Consider the following 23,081-nt stretch of genomic DNA (forward strand, 5'->3'; position numbering starts at 1 on the left):
ATATTTGCTTTATCATACATCAATCCATCAATACATCACTGAAATAATTTTAGACTCACAAGTAAGTAAAAAAAAGTACAGAAAATTTCCATGTAGCCTTCATCTAGCTTTTCCCAATGATAACATCTAATTCATTTATAAAACAATATTGGAGGCTGGGTGCGGTGGCTCATGCCTGTAATCCCAGCACTTTGGGAGGCTGAGGTGGGTGGATCACCTGAAGTCAGGAGTTCAAGACCACCCTCGCCAACATGGTGAAACCCCGTCTCTACTAAAAATACAAAAAATTAGCCGGGCGTGGTGGCACGCGCCTGTAATCCCAGATACTCGGGAAGCTGAGGCAGGAGAATCACTTGAACCCGGGAGGTGGAGGTTGTAGTGAGCCAAGATCACGCCATTGCACTCCAACCTGGGCAACAACAGTGAAACTCCATCTCAAAAAAAAAAAAAAAAAAAAAAAGAAAAAAAAAGAAGAAAAAAACAATATTGGATTTGGAAGCGTTTTTCTAAAATATGATACAAAACCAATAAAAGAAAAGATTAATAGATTGATGAATTCAGATACCTAAACATTTCTTCTTGGGATGAAGACACCAAATGGAAAGTCAAAAGGCAATTAAAATAATTATAATTCATATCATAGATGAAGGTTAATTTTTTCATATACGAAGAACTTTTATACATCAATAAGACAAGCGTCAGCACCCCAAAATTTCTTTTCTATGATAAAGGATATGAACTGACAGTTCACAGAAAAGCAAAAACAATACCTCTTAAACATGAAAAGATGTTCAACTTCATTCGTAATGAGTAAAGCAAATTAAAATGGCACTGAAATACCATTTTCACTTATTGGATTGGTAAAGTTAACAATTTTGTTAACACTATGTTTCTGATCTCTCATGTATTGCTGGTGGTGTGTACATTGATACAAGATGCCAACAGAGGAATTTGGCAATATCTGTCAAAGGTGAAATTGCACATAGCCTTTGCCTCAGAAGTTCCACTTGTAGGAATTTATCCAACAGACATTTTTGCATATGTATGAAATGACATGTATGCAAAGATGTTCATTATAGTATTGTTTACAATAGCAAAATATGAGGAAAAACTAAATTTCAGTCATTAGGGACTAAAATTATGATACAATCATATCATGGGATACTGAGTAGCTATTAAAAACAATGAAAAAGAATGAGTAGGTTTTTATATGTTTTTAAGGATTAAAAAATAATAGCTTTTTTGAAATACCATAAAACTCACCTTTTTAAAGTGTACAACCCAGTGGTTTTTAGTATATTCACAGACTTGTGCAACTATCACTACTATCTGATTTCAAAACATTTTCATCCCCATTAAAATAAAACTCATTAGTAGTCATTCTTTAGTCCTAATCTCTTACCTGTACTGGTTCTACTCTCTCTACCCTAGGCAACCACTAATCTACTTTGTATTTGTATAGATTTGCCTATTCTGGACATTTCATATAAATGGAATAATATAATATGTGGTCCTTTGTAACCGGCTTCTTTTATTTACCATAGTGTATTCATGGTTGATCCATGTTGTAGCATGTATCATTACTGCATTCCTTTTTATTGCCAAATAATATTCCAATGTATGAATATACTACATTTTGTTGATTTAGTCATCAGTTGATGGACAATTGGGTTGTTTCCACTTTATGAATATTGCTGCTATTATAAATAATGCTGCTATGAACATTCATATACAAGTTTTTGTGTGAACTTATGTTTTTAATTCCCTTGGGGATATACCTAGAAGTGGAATTACTAAGTCATCTAGTAACTCTATATTTAACCTTTTAAGGGACTGCCAGACTGTTTTCTAAAGCAGCTGTACCATTTCATATCCCCACCAACATTGTATTGACGTTCCAATTGTTCCATATGCATGTCAACACTTGCTATTACCTTTTTATTATAGCTATCCCAGTGGAAGTGAACTGGTATCTCATTTTGGTTTGATTTGCATTTCCCTGATGACTAATAATGTTGAGTATCTTTTCTTGTGCTTATTGGCCTTTCATAAATGTTCTTTGGAGAAACAATTCGAATTTTTACCTTTTTTTTTTTTGAGACGGAGTCTCGCTCTGTCGCCCAGGCTGGAGTGCAGTGGCGCGATCTTGGCTCACTGCAAGCCCCGCCTCCCAGGTTCACACCATTCTCCTGCCTCAGCCTACCGAGTAGCTGGGACTACAGGCGTCTGCCACCATGCCCGGCTAATTTTTTGTATTTGTAGTAGAGATGGGGTTTTACTGTGTTAGCCAGGATGGTCTCGATCTCCTGACCTCGTGATCCGCCCACCTCGGCCTCCCAAAGTGCTGGGATTACAGGCGTGAGCCACCGCGCCCGACCATTTTTGCCCATTTTTAATTGGATTGTTTGTCTTTTTATTACTGAGTTGTAAGAATTCTTTATATATTCTAGATACAAGTCCCTTATCTGATATATGATTTTAAAATATTTTCTCCCATTCTGGTATTGCCTCTTCGTTGGCGGTGTTGTTTAGAGCACAGAAGTTTTCTGGGTACAGCATAGGTGCATGTGCCTGTATTTATGAGGTATATGAGACGTTTTGATACAGGCATGCAATGAGTAACAAACACATCATATAACATGGGGTATCCATCCCCTCAAGCATTTATACTTTGTGTTACAGATAATCCATTTATACTCTTTTAGTTATTTTTAAATGTATGATTAAGTTATTATTGACTATAGTCATCCTGTTCTGCTATGAAATACTATGTCTTATTCATTCTATTTTTTGTACTCCATGTTGTTTTCTTGAATAAATGCTTCCTAGATTGCTGCAAGCTTTTGTTTGATTTCCAGATTTCTGGAAAAAGATGGTTCTTACAATTTCTGCCAGTTTTCTCATTGCTTTTACAGAGGAGAGAATTTTAGAGGTCTTACTGCACCATTTGCACTGATATACCTTCAGCAGATATTCTTGAATAAATCCTTCTTAATTTGTGGTATGCCCTTTGGTCAATTTCCAGAGTATTTCAATGGCTGTTTTTTGATACTTTTGTCAGTTTTATCATTGCTTTTTGAGGAAAGGATTTGCTGAGCTCCTCACGCAGTCATTCTAGAAGTCATGCCCATCCATTTTATAATTTAACGCCCAGCTAAACTATAACCCCACTCAAGATATAGGGAAAGATACATTTTTAGACATACAAAGTCAAAACACTTTTGCCATCCATTAATTTCACTGAAAGCTATACTAGTGATTATATACTTCAGCAGGATGAAAAAAAAATCCAGCGGGAAGCAAGACTGGATACAAGAAACAATAATAAATGTCAAATCCTCTATCACTGAGTAGTAGTGACAGGAATTTGGAGACTTTTAATGAGATCCTCTTCTATCTGGGACCATATATTTGTTCAATGTGGTATAAAAATGGTATCCTAATGATCATATCTAAAGCATACTAGTAGTGCAATTAAGATCTTGTGTGGCAAACCCATGAGTCCTTTTAGTAAAAAGTGGTAACTCGGGCTGGGCATGGTGGATCACTTGAGGTCAGGAGTTCGAGACCAGCCTGGCCAACATGGTGAAACCCCCTGTCTCTACAAAAAAGATAAAAAATTAGCCAGGCATGGTAGAACATGCCTGTAACCCCAGCTACTTGAGAGGCTGAGGCAGAAGAATCACTTGAACCTGGAAGGCGGAGGTTGCAGTGAGCCGAGATCGCACCACTGCATTCCAGCCTGGGCGACAGAGCGAGAGACTCTGTCTCAAAAAAAAAAAAAAAAAAGTGGTAACTCATGTTTAATGGTGGAAAAAGTATATTCCTGAAGAACAAATGCTTTGTCTTTAACAGGTGAGGGGAATGACGTGTGCCTCCTGCGTACATAAAATAGAGTCTAGTCTCACAAAACACAGAGGGATCCTATACTGCTCCGTGGCCCTGGCAACCAACAAAGCACATATTAAATATGACCCAGAAATTATTGGTCCTAGAGATATTATCCATACAATTGAAGTAAGTGCCAAGAATTTATGTTTCTGTGTTCTTACCTATTTAATCAGCACTCCCGTGAATCATTTCTGGTTTGCATCAGATAGAGGCAATGAAAAAAAATCTAACTCCTTTGAACACTTCAAACAAGATCTGTCTCAAAATTTAATGTAAACGTGTCTGCATTTTTTTTTTTGGTCTTTTTCAGGAAAAGTTAGGCAAAGGTACATTTACACTATTAATCAGGAGCAAACAAGTTAGAACCACAAAACACTTAAAATATTTAGAAAATGGAAATAAAGTATAATTTGTTATAAATAAGATTCATATTAGTTACTAAGAAAGTGAAGGATCCTGCTTGATGGCTTTTTGTTTGTTAGGTCAAAACAAAAGACCTATTTTTAAGTTAAAGTAAGAAATTTAAAAGACTAAACCCAGCTGGACATAGTGGCTCATGCCTATAATCTCAGCATTTTGAGAGGCCTAGAGGGCACAATCACTTGAGGCCAGGAGTTCAAGACCATCCTGGGCAATGTAGCGAGACCCTGTCTCTGCAACAAAAATTAAAATAACTAGCCAGGTGTGGTGCCACGCACCCATAGTATTAATCACACGAGAAGCAGAGGTAGGAGGATTGCTTAAGTCCAGGAGTTGAAGGTTACTGTGAGAGAGACCTTGTCTCTAAAACAAACAAACAAACAAACACAATCCTTTCTTTGTGACAGATTCATCCTGTGTTCTTCAATAAGTCTTAAGTGGTAATACATGTGAATGTATTTTAAAAGTTTCAGTATGCTATAGAATTGGTGTTCAAGTGATTTAAAGCATTTTATTAGTTCAGTTAAGATCCTATTTGTATAGATGACATTATCATTACCATTTTTGTGAAACTAGTTTTACTGAGTACCTGCTATGTGCCAGTTACCAAGATTGCAAAGCTTCAACCCTTAATTCCCACAGCAATGTGGTCATATTCATTTTGGAGGTGAGGAAACCCAGGTTAAGAGAAGTTAAGTTACTTATCCAAAGTCACATAGCTAATAACTGTCATAACTGGGATTTGAGCCTAATTACTCTGACTCCAAAAGCTCATGCTTGTTCTATTCACTGTGCACTGCCAACAAATGTAAGATGGCAGCATTTCCCCTAGCAGTTGGAAATGTAATGTGTATTACTATCTATGGTCAGATAAGTCTTGCTTAGGGGTAGTTTCCTTTTTATACTTTGTTTTATTGGGGAAAATGATTTTTGTTCATGTTCTTTTTCTGATAAAACAAGACTAAATACTGCATATGCAAGGCCTTGAATAATATGTTTAGTATGGTGCTAGCTTTTTTTTTTTTTTTTTTTTTTTTTTGGAGACAGAGTCTCACTCTGTCGCCTGGGCTGGAGTGCAGTGGTGCGATCTCAGCTCACTGCAACCTCCGCCTCCTGGGTTCAAGCGATTCTCCTGTCTCAGCTTCCCGAGCAGCTGGGATTACAGGCACCTGCCACTATTTCCAGCTAATTTTTTGTATTTTTAGTAGAGACGGGGTTTCACCGTGTTGGCCATACTGCTCTCGAACTCCTGACTTTGTGATTTGCCCACCTTGGCCTCCCAAAGTGCTGGGATTACAGGCATGAGCCACCGTGCCCGGCCTGGTGCTAGCTTTTATGGCCTATTAATGAGAACCTCTACTGAGGACAGTTGTACTTGAGTTAAACTCTTATATATAGGATACATATTAACTAGCATTAAGGAAATATTTATTTGTTTGATGAAAGATTGGAAACAAATGCAATCAAGAGCAGGAAGCACATCTTCATCTTTGTATTCCCCAGAGTGACTTGCCCTCAGTAATTGAACTGTTCTTAATGACAATACCATGGCTTAGAATTTCTCTATACAATATTTATATGTTCAGTGAAATAATTTTTTTCTCATGAATTTCCTTAGAGCTTAGGTTTTGAAGCTTCTTTGGTCAAGAAGGATCGGTCAGCAAGTCACTTAGATCATAAACGAGAAATAAGACAGTAAGTACTTTGGAGTGTCAGTAAAAAACAGATTTTGACTCCTTATTACAAATTTTTTTTTGCATGTCAGTTTTTATAATATCATCCTTATACTGGATGAAATGGTCACAATGTATATCTCTCTGTAGTATGTAGAATCTTTACCCATTAGCTATTTATGACCATGATTTTTCTTTTTTTATTTTTTCCATATAAGATGGAGACGGTCTTTTCTTGTGAGTCTGTTTTTCTGTATTCCTGTAATGGGGCTGATGATATATATGATGGTTATGGACCACCACTTTGCAACTCTTCACCATAATCAAAACATGAGTAAAGAAGAAATGATCAACCTTCATTCTTCTATGTTCCTGGAGCGCCAGATTCTTCCAGGATTGTCTGTTATGAATTTGCTGTCCTTTTTATTGTGTGTACCTGTACAGGCAAGTGAATTGTTAGCAAATATATTTGTTAATAATAAAAAATAAGCAAAATTTGGCAGGCAAGGTTTATTTTCAGCTACAAAACTGATGTTAGCTAGAAGTCTGATCATTTTATGCCATATGCTTTACAAAAATAATCTTCAACTGGGTAGTTATTTAAGTTGATAATAGATGCCATTTAACCCCTAAGAAAGAGTTCAAGTTTTTTGGGTTTGGTATTTATATCTGCTACTGTATATAACTTTATTTTATTTTTAAATTTTTATTTATCTATTTTTTTTTTTTTAGAGATGGGGTTTTGCTCTGTCACCCAGGCTGGAATGCAGTGGTGTAAGCACAGCTCACTGTGGTCTTGAACTCCTGGGCTCAAGCATTCCTTCTGCCTCAGCATTCTGAGTAGCTGGGACTTCCAGGCACTAGCCACTGCACCCAGCTCAATGACTTTATTTTTGTTATTTCTTCCTGGCACTTCAGTTCATTACTTTCTGTATGTTTTAAACTCTTTTTTCGAGATAAACTTTTACTTTGGAATAGAATACTTCTATCAAATAAATCTTTTCCTTTATCTGATCCTTATAAAAGGCAATAATGATTTTAAAAAACATCTTAGTTTCTCTGTTTTAATGAAATAAGCTTTCCAGTTATATTTACCAACAAAAACGGCCAACAGATTTCGTAGCTTGTGATATACCAGTTAGTTTGAGTTTTGGAAAGATGGGTGAGTTTTATACAAAAAAATCCTTGAGAAAATGTAATTCCTTTCTTAGTTCTTGTTTTTGCTAGCCTCAGAAAGAAAAATCTGCTTGGTGTGATGGCTCATGCCTATAATCCCAGCTACTTGGGAGGCTGAGGCAGGAGGATTGCTTGAGGCCAGGAGTTTGAGACCAGCCTGGGCAACATATCAAGACTGTCTCTTAAAAAAAAAAAAAAAAAAAAGGAAGAAATATCTGATTTTCCTTGTATTATGGAATATCCATTGGATCATAGATGATAGCCCCACAGGCTTGTGCAGCAATTTGAATACCTCCCTCTGCATGTACATCTATTGAAATACAAACACGATTGTTTTGGCTTAATCTCCCTTTAGTGTTTATGGATTAGCTAAAAGCCAAAGAAAGTGACTATTGATACTTTAAGTTATTGAGATATATATGTGAATTTCAGCATTTTTTAAAATTCAATGATTATCATTCCTATATTGCAGTTTTTCGGAGGCTGGTACTTCTACATTCAGGCTTATAAAGCACTGAAGCATAAGACAGCAAATATGGACGTACTGATTGTGCTGGCAACCACCATTGCATTTGCCTACTCTTTGATTATTCTTCTAGTTGCAATGTATGAGAGAGCCAAAGTGAACCCTATTACTTTCTTTGACACACCCCCTATGCTGTTTGTGTTTATTGCACTAGGCCGATGGCTGGAACATATAGCAAAGGTAAAGTAAGAAAGGGTGACATTTGTTAAAATGTTGGGTGGATAAATGACCTTAGTATTTTTTAGGCCAATCATTGGAAATACATGCTTTTATGTAGTTAACCATTTACTGAAAGACGTATTTTCATTTTGGCAATATTTTAAGTTAAATATCAGTTTAGAAGATTTACCAAATATGGAATTAATACTGTAGATAGTACAGTATGTCTGTTTATTTTAAGAGAGACAAATGAGAAATACTTATCACTTATTTACTTACATTATTAATTGAAAAATTGACATGACCACATGGTTTAAAATAATGATAGAAAAAATTCACCCATATTCCCTTGCTATAATGTAAATCATTTTCTAATTCCATTCTACATACCTTTCTACTTAACAGAGTTGCAAATGTAGTATTCATACTACTTTGTACCCTTAACACTATAAAGTTTTTCACCATTTTTGCAGTCTAGATTATTATCTAATATTTCTGACTAAGTCTGTCACATCAGTTTGCTTTAATTTAATAAACCATTCAGGTGTTTTTCACCATTAGATTGTTTCTAATTTTTTATTTTTAGATAATCCTGCATTGAACATACTCATGTCTAATAGTCATTTCCATTGAGCTAATATCTTAGAAGACATTACAAAGGATGTGTTTACTGGGTTAAAGGGCATAAATATTTCTCTGGTTCATGGTACAAGTTGTAACAGTTTTTGCCAGCAGGGGTATGTCAGTGAAGTATTTTTACTACAACTTCACCAGCATTGCATCCCCCCCACAAATTCTTTCTAAGTTAATAGACATTAAATGGTATTACAGGGTAACTTTAGTTTGTGTTTCTTCCATTAATGGTGGGGATAAACATTTTTTCATCATCGGATGTTTATATTTCCTTTTGAATGATTTGCTTATATATGTCCTTTGCCTGTGTGTTTATTGGGTTCATGTTTTTCTTATTAATTTATATAATTTCTTCATAAATTATACCTAATAATACTTTTAAAATATTTTGTGTACTTTTAGGCTGGGCGCGGTGGCTCATGCCTGTAATCCCAGCGCTTTGGGAGGCCGAGGTGGGTGGATCACGAGGTCAGGAGTTTGAGACCGGCCTGGCCAACATGGTGAACCCCATCTCTACTAAAAATACAAAAATTAGCCAGGCATGGTGGCGCGCGTCTGTAATCCCAGCTACTCGGGAGGCTGAGGCAGGAGAATTGCTTGAACCCAGGAGGCAGGGGTTGCAGTGAGCCGAGATCATGCTACTGCACTCCAGCCTGGGTAACAGAGTGAGACTCTGTCTCAAAATAAATAAATAAATAAATAAATAATAAAATATTTTGTGTACTTCGTCTTTCTGAAGTGAAACATTTTCTAGTGAAACATTTTGAAGTGAAACATTCAAACATTTTGAAGTGAAACATTTTCATATTAATTTTTAAACAAATTAATATTCCTAAAGCTGTCTTTTGGGTAAATGCTAAAGATTGTATTTTTATTTTAGTTAAGACCTGAACTTTTTCTTCCTTAGCATTTTCAATGTGTTTGTTTTAATTTATAGGGCAAAACATCAGAGGCTCTTGCAAAGTTAATTTCACTACAAGCTACAGAAGCAACTATTGTAACTCTTGATTCTGATAATATCCTCCTCAGGTATTTATCTTCACTCTTCCCTCTTCTCTTTTTTTAACTTCTTAAGAAAAATTTCAAATATATACAGAAGTAGAAAAAGGACTATCATGAATTCACATAATCTGTCTCCCAGATATAAAAATTATCCACATTTTGCCATACTTCATCTATCCATTTTGTCTGTCTTTCTTGTTGCAGTAGTATTAAACCAAATTTCAGTCATATTGTTTTACGGCTAAATATTCTGTGTTATCTCTAAAAAAGGATATATTCTGATATAACTATACTACCGTACTGTACCTAACAAAATGAACATTAATTCCTTAATGTCACCTAAGACCCAATTCATATTCACATTTCTCCTGTTGTCTCCAAAATGTTTTAAGTCTCTTTGCCTGAAATAGAATTCAAACAAGATCCATGCATCATAGCATTTGACTATCATATGGCTTATGTTCTTTTAATCTAAAACAGCGCCTCTCTTCTTTCTCCTCATTGTCCTTCCTTCCCTCCTCCCCACAAAACAATTGACTTGAAGAAATAGCCATCAGTTGTTCTGTAGAATATCCCACAATGTGAATTTATCCTTTGTTTCCTTTTGGTTTCATTTAACTTGTTCTATAACTCCTATGTTACTTGTAAATTGGAAGATAAAGCTAAAGACTTGATTATATTTCATTCTTTTGTATTTCTCATTTTTATACTAATAAAATTGTTTAGGCAAAGTTACATAATAAAGAAATTTTTAGTTAAATGAAACCCATTACATTATTTTTTAAAACTTTCATTTTTAATTTAATGACTGTTCAAAAAAATAGAGTGCCTACTTTGTGCTAGCTACTGTGCTGTTCACTAACAGTAAGCAAGACTGACATACTAGTTCCTAGTTTAAATGTTGGTTCTAGCTTCCATTGGCAGTAATTATGGAGCCACAAGCTTGACGTGAACTAAAGAGCTTACATGGAGAGGTCAGGGTAGGAAGCATATTATCATGGTGCTTTTTATGTTAACTTATATCCAGTGAAGAACAAGTGGATGTGGAACTTGTACAACGTGGAGATATCATTAAAGTAGTTCCAGGAGGCAAATTTCCAGTGGATGGTCGTGTTATTGAAGGACATTCTATGGTAGATGAGTCCCTCATCACAGGTATGTTCTTTCAAAGGATCATGACCAAAATGTTAAGAAAAATAGACATGAAAGATGAAGCACTTTTTGTAGAAGCTATGAATAACTAAATTATGAACAGAGAGAATAAGTTCTTTTAAGACTGTATTAAATCAATTTCCTCAGATTTACTTTGTGGCTTTAGTTATGCTATTAGTCCATTTTCACATTGCTATAAAGAAATACCTGAAACTGGGTAATTTATAAAGCCAAGAGATTTAATTGACTCACAGTTCTGCATGTCTGGGGAGGCCTCAGGAAACTTGTAATCATGGTGGAGGAGAAGGGGAAGCAAGGACCTTCTTCACAAGGCAGCAGGAGAGAGAAGTGCTAGCAGGGGAAATACCAGATGCTTATAAAACCATAAGGTCTCATGAGAACTCACTCACTATCATGACAACAGCATAGGGGAAACCGCCCCCATGATTCAATCACCTCCCCTCCTCGACATGTGGGGATTACAATTTGAGATGAGATTTGGGTGGGGACACAGAGCCAAACCATATCATCCCACCCTTGACCCCTCCCAAATGTCATGTCTTTTCACATTTCAACACCAATCATGCCTTCCCAACAGTCCCCCAAAGTCTTATTTCAGCATTAACTCAAAAGTCCACAATCTAAAGTCTCATCTGAGACAAGACAAGTCCCTTCCACCTATGAGGCTGTAAAATCAAAAACGAGTTCCTTCCAAGATACAGTGGGGGTGCAGGCATTGGATAAATGCTCCCATTCCAAATGGGAGAAATTGGCCAAAACAAAGGGACTACAGGCCCCATGCAAGTCCAAAATCCGTTGGGGCAGTCATTAAATCTTAAAGCTCCAAAATGATTTCCTTTGACTTCATGTCTCACATCCAGGTCATGCTGATGCAAGAAGTGGGCTCCCAAGGTCTTGGGCAGATCCACCCCTGTGGCTTTGCAGGGTACAGCCCCTGCCACTGGCTGCTTTCACTGGCTGGTGTTGAGTGTCTGTGGCTTTTCTAGGTATACAGTACAAGCTGTTGGTGGATCTCTACCATTCTGTGGTCTGGAGGATAGTGGCCCTCTTCTCACAGCTCCACTAGGCAGTGCCCCATTGGGGACTCTGTGTGGGGGCTCTAAACTTATATTTCCCTTCTGCACTGCCCTAGCAGAGGTTTTCCATGATGGCTTCTCCCCTGCAGCAGACTTCTGCCTGGGCATCCAGGCATTTCCATACATCCTCTGAAATCTAGGCAGAGGTTCCCAAACCTCCGTTCTTGACTTCTGTGCACCTGCAGGCCCAACACCACGTGGAAGCTGCCAAGGCTTGGGGCTTGCACCCTCTGAAGCAATGGCCTGAGTTGTACCTTGACCCCTTTTAGCCATGACTGGAGCTGAAGCTGCTGGGATGCAGGATACGATGCCACTGAGGCTGCAAAGAGCATCAGAGGCCCTGGTTCCCAGCCCACAAAATCATTTTTTCTCCTAGGCCTCAGGGCCTTTGATGGGAGGGGCTGCTGCCAAGATCTCTGACATGTCCTGGAGATGTTTTCCCCATTGTCTTGGCGATTAACATTTGGCTCCTCGTTACTTATGCAAATTTCTGCAGCCCGCTTGAATTTCTCCCCAGAAAATGGGTTTTTCTTTTCTATTGCATTGTCAGGCTGTGAATTTTCCAAGCCTTTATGCTCTGCTTCCTTTTTAAACATAAGTTCCAATTTCAAACCATCTCTTTGTGAACACATAAAACTGAATGCTTTCAGAATAATGTAGGTCATGTCTTGAATGCTTTGCTGCTTAAAAAATTTCTTCTGCCAGGTATCATAAATCATCTCTCTCAAGCTCACTATTCCACAGATCTCTAGGGTGGGGGAAAAATGCCATCCGTCTCTTTTCTTGTTTCTTTTTTTTTTTTTTTTTTTTTTTTTTTTTGAGACGGAGTCTCGCTCTGTCGCCCAGGCTGGAGTGCAGTGGCACAATCTCGGCTCACTGCAAGCTCTGCCTCCCGGTTCACCCCATTCTCCTGCCTCAGCCGCTGGAGTAGCTGGGACTACAGGCACCCGCCACCACGCCTGGCTAATTTTTTGTATTTTTTATTAGAGACGGGGTTTCACCATGTTAGCCAGGATGGTCTCAATCTCCTGACCTCGTGATCAGCCGGCCTCGGCCTCCCAAAGTGCTGGGATTACAGGCGTGAGCCACCGCGCCCGGCCACCACCCATCTCTTTTCTAAAGCATAGCATGAGGGACCTTTACTCCAGTTCCCCATAAGTTCCTCATCTCCATCTGAGACCACCTCAGCTTGGACTTCATTGTTCACATCACTGTCAGCATTTTGATCAAAACCATTCAACAAGTTTGGCTGGGCGCAGTGGCTCATGCCTGTAATCCCAGCACTTTGGGAGGCTGAGGCTGGTGGATCGCTTAAGGTCTGGAGTTTGAGACCAGCCTGACCAACATGGTGAAACCCCGTCTCTACTAAAAATATAAAATTAGCCAGGTGTGGTGGAGCATGCCTGTAATCCTAGCTACTTGGGAGGCTGAGGCAGAAGAATCACTTGAACTCAAGAAGCAGAGGTTGCAGTGAGCCGAGATTGCACCATTGCACTCCAGCCTGGGCAAGAAGTGCGAAACTCTGTTACAAAAACAAAAAACAAAAAAACCTAACACCATTCAACAGATTTCTATGAAGTTCCAAACTTTCCCACATTTTCCTGTCTTTTTCTGAGCCCTCCAAACTGTTCCAGCCTCTGCCCATTACCCAGTTCCAAAGTCGCTTCCGCATTTTCAAGTATCTTTATAGCAGTGTCCTACTCCCTGTGGTAACAACTTACTCAATTTACTACATTAGTCAGTTTTCACACTGCTCTAAAGACATACCCAACGCTGGGTAATTTATGAAGGAAGGAGATTTAATTGATTCACAGTTCTGCATGACTGGGAAGGCCTCAGGAAACTTAAAATCTTGGCAGAAGGTGAAGGGGGCAAGGACCTTCTTCATAAGGCAACAGTAGAGAGAAGTGCCAGCAGGGGAAATGCCAGACACTTATAAAACCATCAGATCTCGTGAAAACTCACTCATCACAAGAACAGCATAGGGGAAATGCCCCCACATGACTCAATCACCTCCCTCCCTTGGCATGTGGGGATTATAGGTCCCTCCCTCAACATGTGGGGATTACAATTAGAGATGAAACTTGGGTGGGGACACAGAGCCAAACCGTATCAACTATTGAAGACTTTTATCACTGGAGATTATTAGCTGCTAGAATGCATAACCAAAGGAAGTTGTCTCAGTTTCCTGTAGACTTGATGGACTTTGGCAAATTTTCCTGGGCAAATACCTATTCTGCCCTTCCTGCTGTAAAGACTGGTCTAATCTGAGCTATGACACGAGTCCAGGTTTTCCACATCAGGGTCTACTCTAAGGGAATAGGCCTGGCATAGTTTTAGAAATTTTAGGTAACTAAGGCCAATCTGAGGCAGAATCAAAATGATACCTTTCCAATCTCAACTCTCTGATAGTCCTAGAAGAAGCTCAGTTTATGAACCATGTGGAAATAATTTAGGACTGTGTGTTTCTTTCTTTCTTTCTTTTTTGTTTTTTTGTTGTTGTTGTTGTTGAGACAAGGTCTTACCCTGTCACCCAAGCTGGAGTGCAATGGCACAATCTTGACTCATGGCAACCTCTGCCTCCCAGGCTCAAACAATCCTCCCACCTCAGCCTCCCACGTACCTGGGACTACAGGCGCATGCCACCATGCCTGGCTAACTTTTGTATTTTTTTGTAGAGATCGAGTTTTGCCATGTTGCCCAGTCTCGAACTCCTGAGCTCAAGCCATCTGTCTGCCTCAGCCTCCCAAAGTGCTAGGATTACAGGCATGAGCCGCTGTGCCCAACAAGACTGTGTGTTTCTCAATAGGGGTGCTATTGCCAGTTTGGATGGGGCAATTCTTAGTTCTCGGGGACTCTCTTACATACTGTAGTACAATTCAGTGCCCCTGACCCTGGCACTGGCACACTAAATCGAAGTAGTAGCACCCCCTTCCCCATCCCGTGCAGTCATTATTACAAACGAAAACTCCCTCCCACATTTCTAAATGTTCCTTGAGAACAGGTTAAGAACCAATGTTCTAGGACTAGGGTGAAACTCTAAAAGTATCTGCCAACAAGAGCTACCATACAGGTTTTTCCAGTTCAAGGTTTATATTCCTGGCATTGGCCTAGAACTGATATAAGGAAAAAGGGAAAGCAACTTTCACCTAGGCATTTGTTCAGATTCTATTTTATATCTAGATATTTTTGACAAGTAACAAATAATGATATGTTTCATGATAGTGATCATTTATGCTCCTTAAATCTATCTTTACTCTCCATACAGGGGAGGCAATGCCTGTGGCTAAGAAACCTGGCAGCACAGTGATTGCTGGTTCCATTAACCAGAACGGGTCACTGCTTATCTGCGCAACACATGTTGGAGCAGACACAACCCTTTCTCAAATTGTCAAACTTGTGGAAGAGGCACAAACATCAAAGGTAACTTAACTCCCTAGGAGAAACACAAACTATTTTCTTTAAAGCCTTCTCAGTATAAATCTTCACCTAGTTTTTACGTTTTCCAATAAAAATTTTAGTTGCATTAATATGGAGTTCGTTTGTTTTTGTTTTGAGATAGGGTCTCACTCTGTTGCACAGGCTGGAGTGCAGTGGCACCATCATGGCTCACTGCACCCTTGACCTCCTAAGTTCAAGCGATCCTTCTGCCTCAGCCTCCCGAGTAGCTGGGACTGTGTGTGGGCACATGCCACCACACCCAGCTAATTAAAAAAATTTTTTTTTATAGAAACAGGGTCTCCCTAAGTTGCCCAGGATGGTCTCGAACTCCTGGACTCAAGCTATCATCCTGCCTTAGTCTCTCAAAGTGTTGGGATTACAGGTGTGAGCCACCACACCTGGCCATTAACATGAAGTTTGTTAAAATATTTCTATTTGTGCTAACTACTAAATATACTCTGCATTCAGTATCAGAAAAGACTTTGATATGCTTCTTCTTCTTATTATTGTTGTTATTTTTAATTCTAGGCTCCTATCCAGCAGTTTGCAGACAAACTCAGTGGCTATTTTGTTCCTTTTATTGTTTTTGTTTCCATTGCCACCCTCTTGGTATGGATTGTAATTGGATTTCTGAATTTTGAAATTGTGGAAACCTACTTTCCTGTAAGTGACTTGTAATAACTCGTTACTATATGCAGAACAATTTGTGAGTCTTTTGCATTAGTAATTCATTGGAAATAACTTTAATAATTACCAGGATCTTTAAAGGTTTGGAGTGGGAGAGTGATAAGAATAATATTTGCATTTTTATAAATATAAAAAATTTCCTTTTGGAAAAAAAATTTTATTATGACTGGTGATTTTCCAAAAGCAAATACCAAACTTTTACATGTTATGCTTAGTCTCATTTCTGACATGGTTTTGCTTTCACAGAGGACTATAGATATATTGAGGAAAACCTCAGGATTTCAGCTCTGTCATTTACTGTCAATATGATCTTAGACTACTTAATTGCTCTCTGAGCTTCAGTTTCCTCAACTATAAAGTGAGGTTTTAATAATACCCATTTTGTGTAACTTAAGGTTGTTGTGAAGGTTAAATAATATATTAGAAATAATTTGTAACTTATTAAATGCTTTACAAATATAAGATATTATTAGTGTCTACTCATCTAGTTCTCTGATGCTGTCTATGGTGTTGTAAAGTGGTAAAGCAGAACTGGACTGTGCCTCAAATTAGATATATAAACTTTAAGTCATGTAAGTTTTACTATCCTCAGTTCTCTTATCTGTAAAATAGGGAAAATAGTACCTAAGATACAGGATTGGAATTAGTATAGGTGAAAGCATCTAACATATTGACAGATGCAGGTGACAGCCAAGGGTCCCCCTGCGAAACCCCTGAAGGTTGAAAACTTTCAAGCCTAAAACATCCTGAAGGTTGAAAAACCGGACTGCTGGTCCCAGATGAAGCCTGCCCTACTCCCCTACCCCCGACTGATTCTTTCTAAATAATGTCCACCTACGCACTGGGAGGATGGGGTGGGGCCCCTGGAAGTTCACCCCGTTTGTATAGGGAAGGAGTCTGGACTGACCTGTTCCTGGGTGGTACCTGGGGTTCAGTCGGTGAGGTGGAGAGCCTGTTAACAGGACTCAATCTCATTTTGTTGAGTTGTTTTTCCTTTTTCCTTTTTGGCCAATAAATTCCTTTCCCCTCGCCCTTCAAAGTGTCTGCAGACCTAATCTTTTCCTGGTCGTGTGACAAGAATCTGTTCTTTTTCTATAACAACATGTATACATATGTGAAGTTTATGGAAGCATAAGCCTAGAAATCTATGAAAGCCCCTTCCAGCTGTGTTTCTATATAGATCTATAATTCTTGGATGAATATTTAAGTATTTGAGAACTTAACCTAACACTGTAAAACTGTTACTGATAAGAGCTGCAGTGAGCCATGATGGCACTAATGTACTCCAGCCTGGGCAACAGAGCGAGACTCCTACTCAAAGTAAATAAAGTCTTACTTTGTTGTATTTATTTATTTTATTTTTTATTCAGGAGGTACATGTGCATGTTTGTTTGTTTGTTTGTTTATTTATTTATTTATTTATTTATTTATTGCGACAGAGTCTTGCTCTGTTGCCCAGGCTGGAGTGCAGTGGCACGATCTCGGCTCACTGCAACTTCCACCTCCCAGGTTCAAGTGATTCTCATGCCTCAGCCTCCTGAGTAGCGGGGATTACAGGCTTATGTCACCATGCCCGGCTAATTTTTGTATTTTTAGTAGAGATGGGGTTTCGCCATGTTGGTCAGGCTGGTCTCAAATTCCTGACCTCAGGTGATCCACCTGCCTCGGCCTCCCAAAGTGCTGGGATAACAGGCATGAGCCACTGTGCCCGGCCCGTGGATATATTGTTTATTACATGGGTATATTGGGTGATGCTGGGGTTTAGGCTTATAGTGACCCCATCTCCCAAACAGTGAACATAGTACTCAATAAGTAGTTTTTCATCCCTTGCCCCCCTCCCTTCTTCTCACCTTTTGGAGGCCCCACTGCTCATTGATTTCATCTTTATGTCCATGTGTAGCCATTGTTTAGCTCCTGCTTATAAGTGAGAACATGTAGTATTTGATTTTCTGTCCCTACGTTAACTCACTTAGGATAATGGCCTCCAGCTTCACCTATGCTACTCAAAGGACATGATTTCTTTTTTTATGGCTGCATAGTATTCCATGGTGTATATGTACTACATTTCCTTTATCCAGTCCACCATTGATGGGCACCTGGGTGACTCCATGTCTTTGCTATTGTGAAGAGTGCTGTGATAAACACACACATGCAGTTGTCTTTTGATAAAACAATTTAAAATAAATATAAGAAAATCCTTTGGGTAGATATCCAGTAGTGGGATTGCTGGGTTAAATGGTAGTTATATTTTAAGTTCTTGGAGAAATCTCCAGACTGTTTTCCGTAGAGGTTGAACTGATTTACATTCCCACCAACAGTATATAAGTGTTCCCTTTTCTCTGCATCGTTGCCAACATCTGTTATTTTTTGATTTTTTTAATTATAGCCATTCTGACTGGTGTGAAGGGGTATTTCATTGTGGTTTTAAGTTGCATTTCCCTGATGATTAGTGATGTTGAGTATTTTTTCATGTGTTTTTTTTTATCACTTGTATGTCTTCTTTTGAGAGGTGTCTATTTATGCCCTTTGCCCACTTTTAAATAGGGTTGTTTTATCCTTGTTGATTTAAGTTTCATATAGAGTCTAGATATTAGTCCTTTGTTGGATGCATACTTTGCAAATATTTTCTCCCATTCTGTAGGTTCTGTGTTTATTCTGTTGATTGTTTCTTTTGTTGTGCAGAAGCTCTTTCGTTTAATTAAATCTCCTTTATTAATTTTTGGTTTTGTTGCAATTGTTTTTGAGGTCTTAGTCATAAATTCTTTCCCTAGGATAATGTCTAGAAGAGTTTTTCCCAGGTTTTCTTGGGGTTTTTATAGTTTGAGGTTTTACATCTAAGTCTTCAATCTATCCTGAGTTAATTTTTTTATATGGTGAGAGATATGAGTCCAGTTTCATTCTTCTGCATATGGCTAGCTAGTTTTCCCAGCACCATATATTGAATAGGGTGTCCTTTCCCCATTGTTTGTTTTTGTCAACTTTGTTGAAGACCAGTTGGTTGTAGGTGTGGGCTTTATTTCTGGGTTCTCTATTTTGTTCAGTTGATCTACGTGTCTATTTTTGTATCAATACCACGCTGTTTTGATTACTATAGTCTTTTAGTATAATTTGAAGTCGGGTAATGTGATGCCTCTAGTTTTATTCTTTTTGCTTAGGATTGCTTCGGCTATTTAGGTTCTTTTTCCATATGAAATTTAGGATTGCTTTTTAAATTCTGTGACAGAGAACATTAGTAGTTTTATAGGAATTGTGTTGAATCTATAGATTGCTTTGGACAGTATGGTAGATAGGATTAGGGTTAGACATGGAGAGAAGATCATCTCCTGCCACACCCTTCCCCCACACCTACAGTGCTGCGGATGCAGCAGTGCTATTTCCCACCAGGGGCCAGCTAGCGCACACTTGGACAAAGCATATTTCATGCTTTTCATGGTGGCTCCACCCCTACTGCAAGTGAGTCACGTGCCGCTTGGGTTTTTTCCAAGGGCGAGGCTCAACTCCCTCTCCCGACAGAGTGGCACTGTCCCAGCAAGGAGGGACAGACAAATCACTGAGTTGCCTGCTTTGGTCTGGGGGAAAAGACTAACCCAAACCCATTTTAGTGGTAGCTATCAGAGGGGCATACTCATGGGAACCAAAGGACAAAGTCCTTATGAAATGAAGGTCAGGAGCCCTATAACAAGGGCACAAAAGAGAAGCTGATCATGTTCTTGCTGGCACAGGATCAGGAGTGCGAGTGCACCCTAATATAATCTCTTCCCACCACCCCTGCATCAGGGCAGGTGCTTCTACCTGGCACCAACCTACCTGCTGTCTCTTACTCTTGAGTGCCATCTACTGGTGTGTATCCTGAACTGCATCATAAAATTTAAAATCTGCTAACAGAAGGGCTTAGTTCTAGCCCTTAAGATAAGTCCACAGGGACCTCTGCACCCTAAACCCTATAGGAGATTGTTAGCTCTAATGGCTAATACCTCACTACAAAAAGCAGCATCTGAGAAAGCTATGGCATAGAAGCTATCCACAACCAAGTAATCTGTACAGCACCTTGGACCCCTGAAAGCACCAAAAACAAAGCTAAATGATCACACACAACATGCACCACAGTAAAGCACCCAAGGGAAAAAAAAGAAGGAAAGAAAACGTCCCTTGGAAATGATAGCAAATTCAAAAACAGGAAGCAAAAGTTCCCTTGGATGGGAAAGAATCAGTGCAAGAACTCTAGCAGTACAAAAAGTGTTTTCACACCGCCAAACGATTGTAATAGCTCTCTAGCAACGGATCCTAAGCAGACAGATAAGTAATTTAAAATATGGATTGCAAGGAAACCTCAATGAGATCCAAATGAAAGTTGGAATCCAATGTAAAGAAACCAGAAAAACGATTCAGGATATGCAAGACGAGGTAGCCATATTAAGAAAAAAAACAAATGGAACTGCTGGAACTGAAAAATTCAGTAAAGAAATTTCAAATCCAGAGAACTCCTGCAAGACACTATACAAGATGACCATCCTCAGGGCACACAGGCATTAGAATATCCAAAGTCAATGCAAAAGAAAAATATCTTAAAGGCAGCTACAGAAAAGGGCCAAATTACCTACAGAGCAAAACCCATCAGGCTAACAGCAGACTTCTCAGTGGAAATGTTACAAGCTGGAAGTGATTGAGAGCCTATTTTTAGTTTCCCTAAAGAAAAAAAAAACTGGCAACCAGGAATTTCATATCCTGCCAAATTAAGCTTCATACATGAAGTAGAAACAAAGTCTTCCTCAGACAAGCAAACAGTAAGGAAATTCATCACCACCAGACCAGAGCTATAAGAAATGTTCAGAGAAGTTCTGAACATGGAAACAAAAGAATGATACTTGCTACCACAAAAACATATATAAATACAAAGCTCACAGACCCTATAAAGCAATTACACAATTGAGACTACAAAGAAACTAGCAAACACTACCATAAGGAACAAAAACTCATATATCAATATTAAACTTGAATGTAAATGGCCTAAATACTCCACTTAAAAGACATAGAGTGGCAAATTGGAATAAAAAAACAAGATCCATCCTTTTGCTGTCATCAAGAGACCCATCTCAAAGGTAATAACTCATAGGTTGAAGGTGAAGGGATGGAGAAAGATCTATCATGCAAATGGAAAACAAAGAGCAGGGGTTGCTATTCTTGTATTACATAAAACAGAGTTTAAATCAACAATAGTTTTAAAAAAAGGCAAAGAAGGGCACTACAAAATGATAAAGATCTCAATTCAACAAGAAGATTTAACTATCTTAAATACATATGCACCCAACATTGGAGCATCCAGATTTATAAAACAAATACTGCTAGACCTACAAAAAGAGGTAGACTGCCATACAATAATAGTGGAGGACTTCAGTACCCCACTGACAGCACTAGAGAGATCATCAAGGACAAAAATTAGCAAAGAAACTCTGCACTTAAATTGGATTCTCAACCAAATGGCCCTAATAGATATCTACGGAATACTCCACTCAATAACCACAGAGTATATATTCTTCTCATATGAACATGGTACATTCCCTAACATTGATCATCGGCTTGATCATAAAGCAAGTCTCAATAAATTAAAAAACAACTAGATCAGATCAAGCGTCTTCCTAGACTCCAGTGGAATAAAATTAGAAATCAATACCAAGAGGAACTCTAAAAGCCACACAAGTACAGGGAGACTAAACAACCAACTCCTGAATAACTTTTGGGTAAACAATGAAGTTAATGCATTTCGGCCGGGCGCGGTGGCTCATGCCTGTAATCCCAGCACTTTGGGAGGCCGAGGCGGGTGGATCCCCTGAGGTTGGGAGTTCAAGACCAGCCTGGCCAACATGGTGAAACCCTATCTCTACTAAAAAATACAAAAATTAGCCAGGCATGGTGGCACGCACCTGTAATCCCAGCTACTTGCGAGACTGAGGGAAGAGAATTGCTCGAACCCAGGAGGTGTAGGTTTCACTGAGCCTAGATCACGCCATTGAACTGCCGCCTGGGCAACAAGAACAAAACTCCGTCTCAAAAAAAAAAAAAAAATCTCTGTTCCTGATGACATGATTCTATACCTAGAAAACCATAAAGATTTCTCCAAAAGACTCCCAGACCAGATAAACTACTTCAGTAAAGTTTCAGGGTATAAAATCAACATGCAAAAATTATTAGCATTTCTATACACCAGCAACGTCCAACTCGAGAACTAAATCAAGAACTCAATCCCATTTACAATAATCACACACAAAACATACCTAGGAATACATTTAACCAAGGAGGTGAAAGATCTCTACAGAGAGAAGCATAAAACACTGATGAAAGAAACTGAAGAAGACACAAACAAATGGAAAAACATTCCATGCCCATGGATTGGAAGCATTAATATTAAAACTACCATACTGTCCAAAGCAATCTATAGATTCAACACAATTCCTATAAAACTAATGTCCTCTGTCACAGAATTAAAAAAGCAATCCTAAAATTCATATGGAAAAAGAACCTAAATAGCCAAAGCCATCCTAAGCAAAAAGAATAAAACTAGAGGCATCACATTACCTGACTTCAAATTATACTGCAAGGCTATAGTAATCAAAAGCATGGTATTGATACAAAAATAGACATGTAGATCAATTGAACAAAATAGAGAACCCAGAAATAAAACCACACACCTACAACCAACTGATCTTCAACAAAGTTGACCAAAACAAGCAATGGGGAAAGGACACCCTATTCAATATATGATATTATTATATGGGATTACAGACATGAGCCACTGTGTCCAGCCCACTACTGTAATATTAAAAAGTTTCTTTAAGTGATTCATGTCTGTTTAGTACACACTGAACAAAAGGATTGTTGGGAAGTTTTTTTGGTATTTATTTATTTATTTATTTATTTATTTATTTATTTATTTATTTTTGAGACAGGGTCTCGCTCTGTTGCCCAGGCAGGAATGCAGTGGTGCAATCATGGCTCACTGCAGCCTCAAACTTCTGGGCTTAAGCGATTCTCTTACCTTAGCCTCCCGAGTAGCTGCAACTGCAGGCATGCACCACCATCCCTGGCTAATTTTTTTTTTTTTTTTGAGACCGAGTTTCGCTCTTGTCACCCAGGCTGGAGTGCAATGGCATGATCTCGGCTCACTGCAACCTCTGCCTTCCAGGTTCAAGCAATTCTTGTGCCTCAGCCTCCCAAGTAGCTGGGATT

At 38.7% G+C, this 23,081-nt stretch overlaps 1 protein-coding gene across 3 annotated transcripts in view; it reads left to right on the forward strand.

Annotated features, from left to right (window-relative positions):
• Positions 1-23,081, forward strand: part of ATP7A (ATPase copper transporting alpha) — a 139,703-nt gene that overhangs the window by 94,554 nt on the left and 22,068 nt on the right. Inside the window, exons 7-14 of one of the 3 annotated variants that reach the window (NM_000052.7) lie at positions 3,856-4,017; positions 5,930-6,006; positions 6,203-6,428; positions 7,633-7,866; positions 9,416-9,507; positions 10,508-10,635; positions 14,998-15,152; positions 15,699-15,833. The exons of 1 other annotated variant lie outside the window; for it this stretch is intronic. In NM_000052.7, coding sequence (NP_000043.4) covers positions 3,856-4,017; positions 5,930-6,006; positions 6,203-6,428; positions 7,633-7,866; positions 9,416-9,507; positions 10,508-10,635; positions 14,998-15,152; positions 15,699-15,833 — 1,209 coding nt within the window. The remainder of the gene's footprint in view (positions 1-3,855; positions 4,018-5,929; positions 6,007-6,202; positions 6,429-7,632; positions 7,867-9,415; positions 9,508-10,507; positions 10,636-14,997; positions 15,153-15,698; positions 15,834-23,081) is intronic. One more of the 3 variants, NM_001282224.2, reaches the window with a different exon arrangement.

This window comes from Homo sapiens, chromosome X (genome assembly GCF_000001405.40).
Source record: "Homo sapiens chromosome X, GRCh38.p14 Primary Assembly".
Lineage (NCBI taxonomy): Eukaryota > Metazoa > Chordata > Mammalia > Primates > Hominidae > Homo > Homo sapiens.